Consider the following 12,683-nt stretch of genomic DNA (forward strand, 5'->3'; position numbering starts at 1 on the left):
CTTTAAAGAGTCAACCAACGTGTGACAACATTTGAAAGGCTATTTAATGAAAGGCGTACCAAAAGTCCATAAGCTTCCCTAAAGTGCACCAGACATCAGACACATCATTTCCATCCTGTAATCTGTACCAGGAATAAACTTAGAATGAAAACCTCTGGCAAACAACTAAGTCCCTCATCTGCTCTGTGGGATCATGATTAGACCAATAAATCAAACTGGTTACCAGCCTAAGCTTTTAAGAATTTGACAATCACCTACACCACCCACCTCATTTTGTAAATGAGGAAAGTAAGGCCCAGAAAAGCAAAGTGACTAGCCCAAAGCCACACAGCTAGTGTAATCTCAACACTCAAAAGCAACAGTTATTACTAAACTGTACTATGTATAAATGAATCACTAAATAGCCTCTTCTATTTTATTCTATTTTAATATGCCAAAATATAAAATAAATGGTAAAATTTGAGGTATGAAATTTTCAAAGTTTTCCTTCTCTGACGATATAAAAATATATCATCATAAGCATTTACTTAAATGTTTTTGCTCATACTTGATTCACACCATGTATAATGGATTTCAAGACGTATATGTGTCTATGTATGTATATGTGTATGTATGTATGTATGTATCTATCTATCAACTCATTCAACATCCCACACTATGTCTTTCCTGGCACATATTATGAGAACATTGAATATTTGTTGAGTTAATGAATTTTAAATCATATAGATTTATTGCCAAATTATACTCTAATCCCAAACAATTAAAAGGGAGATTTTCTTAAATGTTTTTTAAACCAGAAATTGTTGCATACTTACCCCCCACTGGAAAGAAGGAAGGAATGTTAAAGAGCTAAATATAGCAAATAATGATATATATTTTTAATGTCATAATCTAGTATAGTCAAAATCTCTAGGTATGTCTTACCTGCCAACTCTACATGCCAATTCTAAAGGCATGTTAACTAATTTATTAACTAAAAATAGTCTGCTCAACAAATAAACTATAGTATCTGACTCTCGCAAAGAATCACAATTATTTTCCAATCCTCTTGGAATTCCAACCTGATTTGGAAGAGTGGCTGTGTATTTATCTGACAAGTCCAAAACTTTCCTGGAAAATAAATTTACTCCTGAATAGTCTTTTATCATTCCACTATTGCATAAATCCCAACCTGGCAACATCAGTGAGAAATTATCTTCATTCAAAGAAATTCCCAAAGAAATAGGACCCTGAAGCTTTAAAATATTGAGGTGCTTAATGCAAAGATAATCTAAATCTTTATCCACTCCCCATGGCAAAAGGCAAGACAGAAACAATTTTGCTGTGTCTATTGTGAGACTGGCATCTACTTTTCTTGATGGCTTAGGCTGCATTTTTTTGGAGATCTTCATTTTCTTCTGCCTTTTAATGCCATCATTTTCTTCTGAGAATTTGATGGTATTATCTCCTTGGGCCAGGCTTTCAGTAATAGGCTTGGCTAGTGCCTCTGCTGAAAGAGGACCACAGGCAGTTTTACTTTTTCTCAGTGTCAGTGTCTTCTTCTCCACTGTGCTCTTGGCTCTTCTCAGGACCTCACCACCATAGAATGAACTGGAAGAGTCAACATCACTGAGTGGAGTTGGTAGCAAAAGTTCAACAAGGTTTTCCAGATCAAATAGAAGAATATGAAAGCCAACGTTACTCCATTTTGTCTTCACAGGCAAGACATTAAAAGGTCTTGGGCAAAATTTGGCATCAGTAACCTAAGGGAACAAAAAATATTTGTGTCAAAGTTCTTGCTTATTATTTTATTAAAGATTCCATGATGTTAAAGTGGCATTTTTAAAAAGTATTACATTGCAGAGCAGCTAAAGGCAAGTCATTTCAATTTTTTTGTCTTAGCTATAAAAATTCATTTCTAAATTAAATATTCTATATTCTAACATTCTTTGAAGACTTCTTTTCTTTTTTCCTAAGTTTTATTTTTCCTCTAAATAAATATGAATTATGTCTCTGGAGTAAGATGGCACTAGATTAACATCCTTTAATATAGACTCTCATATCTTTCTACTATTATTGTCATAAAGACATACAAGGACAAGGTAGGTTTGAAAACTGAGGAGAACAAATGTAAGAACGCATGCAAAAATTTATTAAGTATTTTAACAAAAATGGTGCTTCCAAATTTGTTAAAATTGGAAGTAATTTAAATGTTAACCAATGTCATATTGCTCTAAGAAAAACTCAAAAAACTCACCTTGTTGACTTGCATTTGATTTTGCCCCAAAGGCTGGCACAGTGGGTTCCCATACTTAAATTATGTTCTTGCTAATTTATGAGGCATTCCTTGAATACTCTATTCCCTCATATCAACCCATTACTCTCTATAATCTTCCTTGCTTTTTTTCTTCTTTCTAGAACTTAGGATTTCCTTACAGAATATGAAAAATTTATTTCTTTATTGTATGTTTCCTCCACTAGCATTCAAGCCACACCTTTGCAGGAATTTTGTATGTTAGTTGCTTCCAGTGCCTACAAAACAATGCTTCTATACAGCATTATCAAGAGACTCAATTAATGTTTGTTGAATTAATAATTAGCAAATTTATACAATGGAACACCATTTAAATAATTTAAAATGGTGGTGTAAATTATATCGATCGGTGAAAAACATGTTATTAGGCAGACAAAATAATTCTCCTTTTGTAAAATTTTACGTACAAATATATAGGTATTTAAAAATTTGACACATATCTCTATCTACATTTGTATATATAAATATACATATATAGGGAACATGTAAATACAAATAAATGAATAAAGTCACAAAGGATATGAACCAAAATGTTAACAATAGTTAACATTTAATTGGGAAGAAGGAATTAATTGGGAAGCAGAAATTAAAATGATCTTTATACTATGGTGTGTTGTGTTTTTGGTTTGGTTTTCTGAAATTTTTTTACAGTGATGATATATTTAATTTTCAATAATAAAAAAGGAAAGTTTAAAAAGAAAACCATTACAAATTATAAATGGTAAAAAATGAAATGGAGAACAAATTATAAGAGCAAATTTGTCAAATAAGGGTTAATATAATTATTAATAAATAATTTTTGCAAATCAATAAGAAGAGGCTCTTACAGATGGATGAATGGGCAAAGATAATAACAATTCACAAAACAAATATTCAAAAGTTACAATATGAAAAATTTTTACTACAAGTAGTAACCAGAAAAATGAAATTAAAATAATACCATTCATTGGCCTATTAATTTCACCATTATGTTCATCAAAGCAGCCAGACATAAAAGAATTAGCTGTATGTAATTCCATCCCCGTTATTTTCAAAAGACAGGAGAAAACAAAACAATAGGGTTTAAGGATACCTTCATAAACAATAAATCTACAAAGATAGTGGCTACCTTTTGAGGACTGGGAGGTATAGTTTCTGGGGTGCTCACATGTTTTATTTCTGGATCTATGTGGTGATTATGAAGGTGTGTGCTTTATGACAATTCATTGAGCTGTACATTTTTGTGCTGTGTTGTTTACTTTTTTCTATACGTGTTATACATTTCATGGTAAATAAATAATGTAAATGAACTGTTTAAGGAATATTAACAAAGTGCCTCCATTTGGACTAAAAAGTAGAATATGCCCTGATTTTTTTTACCCCTGCATACTGTCAGAAAGTAACCAATATTTGAATTTCATGCTTATAATTTCTTTGCTTTCATTTAGTGTCTTAACCTTAAATATGTATTCCTATTTGACCTACTTAATTTTGCATGTTTTTGCATGTTTGCCAAACTCCAGATTACATCTCCCACTTATTTAGACCATGTTTAATTTCTTTTGATAGTTTTATAATCACTCAAAAATATGTTTATATTACTTGCCTATCAGTTATTTAGCTCTGCAGTACCTATAACTATGGGCCTCTTAAAATTTATTACTTTTATTGCCTCTGTTTTTTCCTGCTAGAATTTTGTCAATTTTGATACTCTTTTTAAAGCATCAACTTTTGACTTTGGTTATCCTCTCAATGGAATAATGTTTTTCTCAAAAGGTAGTCTTGTGTTAGCTTGACTTATTTTCTCCCAGTATTCGTGAAGAAGGGATTATTCTGCAGTCTCTGGCTTCCTCTGATGCAGTTGAGAAGTCAGCTGCTAGTCTGTCACACCATCTGTCTTTTCTCTCTGCTGTTTGATGAGATCCTTTTGGCTTTAATATTCCACTGCCTCGCTGTGATTCTTCTAGGTGTGGATGTTTTCCCCCAGTCCTCCACTGTATCTGAGCCTCCCCATCTTTCATTAACTTTGTGAAGTTGTTGGGCTTATCCCTTTGAATATTTTCTCTTACCATCCCATTATCCCCTTATGGGACTCTGATCAGGTATTTGCCAAAGGCTGTATCCCCTTACACGTTTTTCAACTCTTTTGTCTTTCTGTACCTCATGTGGGGCAATCCCTTCAAAATTTTTCTTTTAGTTTGCCAGTTGTCTTCTCACCTGTGTTTAATATGTTCCTTAAATTGCCCATTGAGTTCCTAATTTTGATTTTTACATTTTTCATTGCCAGATCTTCTATTTGGTTCTTCTAAAAAAACAAAATGGTCATTTTTATAGACAGCTATTTCTTACTCATATTTTAAAATAATTCTTTTATTTTTAAACCTACTTATTATACTTTGCATCTGTAATTAAAGTTTCTAAAATCTTTGTGGATATGGCTCTGCTTTTTTATTTTGCCAACATTTTCCTGTTTCCTTGTATGCTTTATAATTGTGTGTGTGTGTGTGTGTGTGTGTGTGTATGAAATGTGATCAGTGAGAATCCTTTGAGATATATGTGACAGTGCACTCTTTAAGAGAGGATTTTAGTTTGTGAATACCAGGTATCCAGGGGTACTACCAAATAGGGCCCTCTTTAAACAAAATTTTCAGCTTCAAAAGTTTTCATTCCTTGAAGGTGGTGTGAATTCTGACTCAAGATTATGGTTATTAATACTTAAGCAAAAGTACTTTCCCCCCTCCATCTAGGGCTGAGACCAACAAAGACAAATATTTTTATTCTCTTCTTGTGTGAAAAATATTGCTCATCTTGGTTGGCTTTCTCACTGAATACGCATCTCTTAGAGGACAATGAGCTTATGCTGTGGTATCCCATCCGACTTCCTATCACTGCACTGGACCTGGAAATTCTCTCTTTTAACCTTTATAGTGGTTTAAACTAAAGCTAAACGTACCCGAGGATTAGCAAATGCTCTTTCAGCCTTCTCCAACCTGTCTGGAATTGTGCTCTCGTTTTGCTTTTTACCTCTAAGAATTTCTGTAAATTTCTTGTTAATTCTAATATGCATTATTTTCAAAGATAAATTTTAAAATAGCTTACTCTTTATTTGTAGAGAAATGAACAGGACTGATGTTCAGACTATTAGCCAACAAACAGGTAAACATTGGATTTGCAAATACCATTGAAAATTGAATATTCAGTTTTGATAATGGGGGGAGTAAATGGGCATTCTTATACACTGCAAGATTAGTGTAAGTTGGCACTTATTTTATGGAAGGCAATTTGGCAACATGTATCAATAATCTTAAAATGTTACAAACTCTTTAATGCAGAAATTATTTTAAAAATAATTCCTAAAGGTATGATTATAAATATGCACAAAATCATATAAAAAATGGTCATTGAGGATTTTGCTGTTTCAATAAGCTGTAAATAACTTAAATGTCCCATACAATAGATTTGGCTGAATATATTATGGCATATATATATGCAAAATACATTATGACATACATACATATGCCAAAAATTCATATATATTGTCAATGGAAAATATTTAAATTTTTAAAAATATAATCCCATTTTCTATAAAATTGCAGATTTCTTAAAATATTTTGATCATATTTATTTTTTAAATTTCTAGAAAAACTTATATTTTACCATACCAAACAAAAAGCTCTTCTAAAAATAGTAATCAAAATGGCCAACCCAGAAATAAACCTAAATACTTACAGCCAACTGATCTTCAACAAAGCAAACAAAAACATAAAGTGGGGAAAGGACACCCTATGCAACAAATGGTGCTGGGATAATTGGCAAGCCACATGAAGGTGAATGAAACTGGATCCTCATCTCTCACCTTAAACAAAAATCAACCCATGATGGATCAAGGACTTCAATCTCAGACCTGAAAATATAAAAATTCTAGAAGATAACATTGGAAAAACTCTTCTAGACATCAGCCTAGGCAAGGATTTCATGACCAAGAACCCAAAAGCAAATGCAATAAAAACAAAGATTAAACAGCTGGGACTTAATTAAACTAAAGAGCTTTTGCATGGCAAAAGGAACAGTCAGCAGAGTAAACAGATAACCCATAGAGTGGGAGAAAATCTTTACAATCTATATGTCTAACAAAGGACTGATATCCAGAATCTACAATGAACTCAAACAAATTAGCAAGAAAAATACAAACAATTCCATCAAAAACTGGGATAAGAACATGAATAGAAAATTATCAAAAGAAGATATAAAAATTGCCAACAAACATATAAAAAATGCTCAACATCACTAATGATCAGGATAATTCAAATCAAAACCACAATGCAATACCACCTTACTCTTGCAAGAATGGCCATAATAAAAAAATAATAGATGTTGGCTTGGATGTGGTAAACAGGGAGTGCTTCTACACTGCTGGTGGGAATGTAAACTAGCACAACCACTGTGGAAAACGGTGTGGAGAATTCCTTAAAGAACTAAAAGTAGAACTACTATTTGATCCAGCAATCCCACTACTGGGTATGCACCCAGAGGAAAATAAGTCATTATATGAAAAAAATACTTGCACAACTATGTTTATAGCAGTACAGTTCTCAATTGCAAAAACGTGGAACCAACCCAAATGCTCATCCATCAATGAGTGGATAAAGAAACTGTGATATATATATATATATATATATATATATGATAGAGTACTACTCAGCTGTAAAAAGGAATATGACCTGGATGAGATTGGAGACTATTATTCTAAGTGAAGTATCTCAGGAATGGAAAATCAAGCATCATATGTTTTCACTTATAAATGAGAGCTAAGCTGTGAGAATGCAAAGGCATAAGAATGACACAATAAACTTTGGGGACACAGGGGGAAAAGGTGGGAAGGGGATGACGAATAAAAGACTACAAGTGTGTGCAGCGTATAGCTCTTGGGTGATGGGTGCAACAGAATCTCACAAATCACCACTAAAGCATTTAATCATGTCATCAAACACCACCTGTTCCCCAATAACCTATGGAAATAAACATTTTTTAAAAAAAGAAACTATCATCAGCGTGAAGAGACAACCTATAGAATGGGAGAAAGTTTTTGCAATCTATGCATCTGACAAAGCCCTAATATCCAGAATCTACAAGGAACTTAAACAAATTTACAAGAAAAAAACAAACAACCCCATTAAAATGTGGGCAAAAGAACAAGAACAGACATTTCTCAACAGAAGACATTCGTGTGGTCAATAAACATATGAAAAAAGCTCATAATCACTGATCATTAGAGAAATGCAAATCAAAACAGCAATGAGATACCATCTCATGCCATTCAGAATGGTGATTATTAAAAAGTCAAGAAACAACAGATAATAGCAGGGCGTTAGAAAAATAGGAACAGCTTTTACACTATTGGTGGACATGTAAATTAGTTCAACCACTGAGGAAGACACTGTAGCGATTCCTCGAAGACCTAGAACCAGAAATACTATTCGACCCAGCAATCCCATTACTGGGTATATACCCATAGGAATATAAATCATTCTATTATAAAGATACATGCAAGTGTTATGTTCATTGCAGCACTAGTCACAATAGCAAAGATATGGAATCAACCCAAAAGCCCATCAATGATAGACTGGATAAGGAGAAAGTGGTACATATATACCATGGAATACTACACAGCCATAAAAAAGAATGAGATGTGTCTTTTACAGGGACAATGGATGGAGCTGCAAGCCATTATCCTCAGCAAAATAATGGGAAAGAAAAAACAAACACCCCATGTCCTAATTTATAAGTGGGAGCTGAACAACGAGAACACATGGACACAGGAGGGGAAAACACACACAGTGGGGGCAGTCTGAGGAGGGAGCAGGGGGAGGGAGAGCATCAGGATAAATAGTTAATGCATGCTGGCCTTAATACCTAGGTGATGGGTTTCTACAGGCACAGCAAATCACCATGGCACACGTTTACCTATGTAACAAACCTGTACATCCTGCATATGTATCCCAGAACTAAACTAAACTAAACTAAACTAAAATAAAGGGCCCTAGGGGAAAAAAGAAAATGTCAACAATAGATATGACTAGCCAAATATTTTTAACATGTACTACCCTCCCCGCAAAACAGCTGCATTGATCAAATTAAACTTAAAAGCATAAGAACAAAATTCACAAGATCAATAATCAAAGGCTAATATTTTAGGCATATAAAGAACTCACATAAATTAATTTGTAAAATACTCATACCATCACAAGAGATAAACAAAGAGATAAAAATATTGTAGAGAGAAATAGTTTGTAAATCATTAGTCTCAAAAAAGTGTAAAATATTGTATACTATACGGGTTTTGATTTCTTAATTAACTAACTCTTTTTTTTCAACTTTTATTTTAGATTCAGGGGCTACATCTGCAGATTTGTGGTTTGGGATATGATTGATCCCAACACCCAGGTACTGAGCATAGTACCCAATAGTTGGTTTTTCAACCCACAGTCCTCTTCTTTCCTTTTCCATTTAGTAGTCCCCAGTGGCTATTGTTGTCATCTTTATGTTCATGAGTACTCATTGTTTAGCTTCCATTGATAAGTGAGAACATGCAGTATTTGACTTTCTGTTCCTGTGTTAATTAACTTAGGATAATGACCTCCAGCTGCATCCATGTTGCTACTAAGAACATGATTTCATTCTTTTTTATGGCTAAATAGCATTATATTATATATATATATATACACACATACACATACACATACACACACACATATATATCACACTTTCTCTATCCAATCCATTGTTGATGCGCACCTAGGTTGATTCCATATCTTTGCTATTGTGAATAGTGCTGCAATGAACATACAAGATCACGTGTCTTTTTGGTAGAACTTTATTTTCTTTCCCAGTAATGGGATTGCTGGGTCAAATGGTAGTTCTTTTTTAAATTCTTTGAGAAATCTCCACACTGCCTTCCACAGTAGGTGAACTAATTTACATTCCCACCAAGTATAAGTATACACTGTATACATTCCCACTTACAAATATACACTGTATAAGTATTCCCTGTTTTCTGTGGCCTCACCAGCATCCATTGTTTTTTGATGTTTAATCATAGCCATCCTGACTGGCATGAGATGGTAACTCATTGTCGTTTAGAGTTGCATTTCTATGATAACTAGTGATGTTGAGCATCTTTTCATATGTTTCTTGGCCACTTGTATGTCTTCTTTTGAGAAGTGTATGCTCACGACTTTTCCCATTTTTAATGGAGTTATTTTTTGCTTGTTCAATTAAGTTCCCTATAGATTCTGGCTATAAGACATTTGTTGGGTGCATTGCAAATATGAGAAGACCTCTGAAGTGATGGCTAGAAGAAGGGTAAGAAGGTATGCATATAGCGTGAACTGAGAAAATTTCAGAATGGCTGAAAGGTAGAATACGGGAAGGTAGAGAATGAGCTACACAGAAGAGATGAGGGCCAGGTTACATAGATCCGTATAAACTCTACTGACTACTAAATGCATTCTAAGAATAGTTATAAGTCTTCAAGGGGTATTTAAGAAAAGAAGTCATCTACTCACAAACTATAGCTGTGGTTTCTTCTGGATTACTGGTTAATCAAGCTGGCTGAAGGCAGAGTTCTGCCCTCCTATGCACTTCCACTTCCTCAAAGCTATAATCTCTGTCTCAGCACCTAGATCTCCTCAACTTCTGGGCCAATCAAAATCACAGCAATGATTCGAGCAATATTTCTTGTTCTCCTCTTATTATTTTGTGGTCCACACAGCCACAATAGGCCTAGTGCACTGCCATAAGCAAAAATCCTAAATTTGTGTTCCTAAATATGGTCACCTTATCAAAGAAGCAACTGAATATTTTACATTATTTTAAAATCATAAATGTTATTCCAAATTTAATTAACATACAACAGAGTTGGCTTCCATTTGAAAACAAGTCCATTAGAATATAAGTATAAATTGTTGCTATGTTTTAATGTATTAAAATTATTAAACATAATTCCAGCTAGTCATCACTGTTTGAAACTTTAGGAAGTGTATGCTAAAAGTCTTATTAACAAAGGGCCTTGAAAACATAATGACTATCATTTTGGATATAAGTAACACAGAAAAATGACAGTAAATGCCCATAATATATATTTTCTGAGTTTTCACATTTTATAGATTGGGCAGACACAATATTCAGTAATGTTTAGCAAAGGCTGTAGTTAATATTAACTTTATTTTTATGTTACCTATATGCAATATATTTCACAGACAAAAAGTCTATTAAAAGTAGCATGCTAAAAGCAAAAATACAAATATAATTATGTTAATTTTAGGATGATAAAATATATCTAAAACATCATTCTAACGGAAGTGTCTTGGAAACATTCATTAATCTGACTGCAATTTTTAAAAGTCTAGAACAAGTAATTAAAAGCAAGAAGTATTTCATCCCATCTATGCCACTGCAAAAATGTGAGGAGTAAATACAAATTTTAAGTGATTGGTTTACATGTTGTTTATAAAACACTATCTGATTGCCTGACAGATAATTCCCCAACATGTGATTTCCAGGTATTGCATCATAGACAAGGTCCTGGTATTTTCCTCAAAAATCATCACTTTTACTACTACTCTCTGAAATCCCAGGTTGAGAAAAGAGAGAAGGTATTGTTTACAATTGGTAAAGCAAGAGGGTGGCACTAAAGAACAATCCATTCCAACCTCTGAACTTTGGAGAGTTTGGGAGTAAAATAATGCTGATACATCTACATGTGAATGCTATAAACAGCAGGTGGGGAGTAGGCAAAGGCACACAGGGTTGAATTCTTTGTCTGGAGTACAAAGACTTTGGGAAAAGATACTGAGTCTGAAAGTCTGCAAGTAGAATCCCAGATGGCTGGCAGGCCAAAATTATTCCTCTACTACCCACAAGAGCCCAGAATAATTAAAACCAACGCCAATGACACGAAATGCAAACTGTAAGCAATCCAAAGTACATATAAAAAGGAAAAACAGAAAGGACCAACTGTTCAGACAAAAAAAAAAAAATGTAATAGGTGTGAAAGTACAAGTCTAACACTTTTATCTGAAGAACAAAGAAGTGTACTGATTTATTTTCTTTTTCCTTCAGCCTACTATGTTCTTCTTCCTTTTCTCCCTGATTCAGAAAAACAAAATGCTTAAACAAGACTGGTTTTACTCCTGGCTTTTGAAGGTAGAAACGTACTTTCTAGCAACATGTTCTGATAACTTCTTTCTCAAAACATTTTGGATCCCCCACTGAGTTTGTTGTGAAAAAATTTGACCTGCCCAAGCTACTGTTACCGGGGGTCCTTGCTCCCAAAGCTCCCAAGATGGTGGTGGGCAGCTTCCAAAATAGCGGCAGGCCACTTCCAAGATGGTGGCAAGCCTCGTGTTCTCTGACCTGGGGTTCTAGGCCTTATGGATTACAAGGAATGGAATCTTGGGCCACGCGATGAGTGTTATAGCTCTATCAGAAGCCGTGGGTCACGGAAGAGAACCGTGGGACCCAGTGACTAGTGTTCAGCTCAATTAGGATGAACCAGGCACTTAGCCAGGCAGGAAAAATGACAAGCCTTTAGCCTGATTGGGAGCAGCAACGGGCACCTTGCTGGATCAGGAGCACAGCGGACACCCTGCCGGATCCAAGGGATGGAAGTCAGCGGCAGGTCTGCGAGGCGGCAAAGAACAGTGGTGGACGGCGAGCCAAAGCTCAGCTCCAGCCGTAACAAACACGGACCAGAAGAGTGCAGCTGCAAGATTTAACAGAGTGAAAACAGAGTTCCCATACAAAGGGAGAGGACCCAAAGGGGGTTGCAGTTGCTGGGCTCAAATGCCTGGGTTTCTATCCCGATCTTTGTCCTTCCCGCTGTGCTCTCAGGCAACAGATGATTGGCTATTTCTTCACCTCCTGTTGTTGCCTAATTAGCATTTTAATGAGCTCTCCTTACTATCTGATTGGTCGGGTGTGAGCTAAGTTGCAAGCTCCATGTTTAAAGGTGGAAGTGGTCACCATCCCAGCTAGGCTTAGGGATTCTTAGTTGGCCTAGGAAATCCAGCTAGTCCCATCTCTCACTACTACAACCATAAAATAGATTGGGTAACACTGATGCTTAAATCTGCCCTCATCTTCTCACTTTTGTCACTTCGTACAGTAACACTTAATATAAATATTTAAATACAAAGTTAGGAAATATAGGCAGCAGCTGCTAAAACATTTTAGATATTTCCTTATATTCCTGAATGAAGAATTTAGAAATTGTCTGATTTGACTCTTTCTCCTCACACTAAGGAAAAATGAGAGAGAGAAGGGAAATGACTTGTTCTAAGTTACCCATCTGGCAAATAGCCCAACCAAGATTCCCAAGTCTGTTTCTCCTAAGATGACATTATCCACTTAG

At 34.8% G+C, this 12,683-nt stretch overlaps 1 protein-coding gene across 8 annotated transcripts in view, besides 1 other annotated feature; it reads right to left on the reverse strand.

Annotated features, from left to right (window-relative positions):
- The window catches only part of WDR72 (WD repeat domain 72), a 249,138-nt gene that overhangs the window by 100,761 nt on the left and 135,694 nt on the right, over positions 1-12,683 (reverse strand). For all 8 annotated transcript variants that reach the window (NR_102334.2, XM_011521436.3, NM_182758.4 and 5 more), the window contains one exon: positions 925-1,742. Coding sequence is in view for 7 of the 8 variants with exons in the window: in XM_011521436.3 (XP_011519738.1) it covers positions 925-1,742 (818 nt within the window). In the remaining variant the exon portion in view is untranslated. The remainder of the gene's footprint in view (positions 1-924; positions 1,743-12,683) is intronic.
- Positions 10,700-11,308: an enhancer, noted in NCBI's record as "OCT4-NANOG hESC enhancer chr15:53917398-53918006 (GRCh37/hg19 assembly coordinates)". NCBI's record gives its function as "activates a minimal SCP1, AML or CMV promoter by ChIP-STARR-seq in naive and primed H9 embryonic stem cells {active_cell/tissue: H9 hESC(naive and primed)}" and the evidence as "EXISTENCE:reporter gene assay evidence [ECO:0000049][PMID:30033119]".

This window comes from Homo sapiens, chromosome 15, assembly GCF_000001405.40.
Source record: "Homo sapiens chromosome 15, GRCh38.p14 Primary Assembly".
In the NCBI taxonomy this organism is placed as follows: Eukaryota; Metazoa; Chordata; class Mammalia; order Primates; family Hominidae; genus Homo; species Homo sapiens.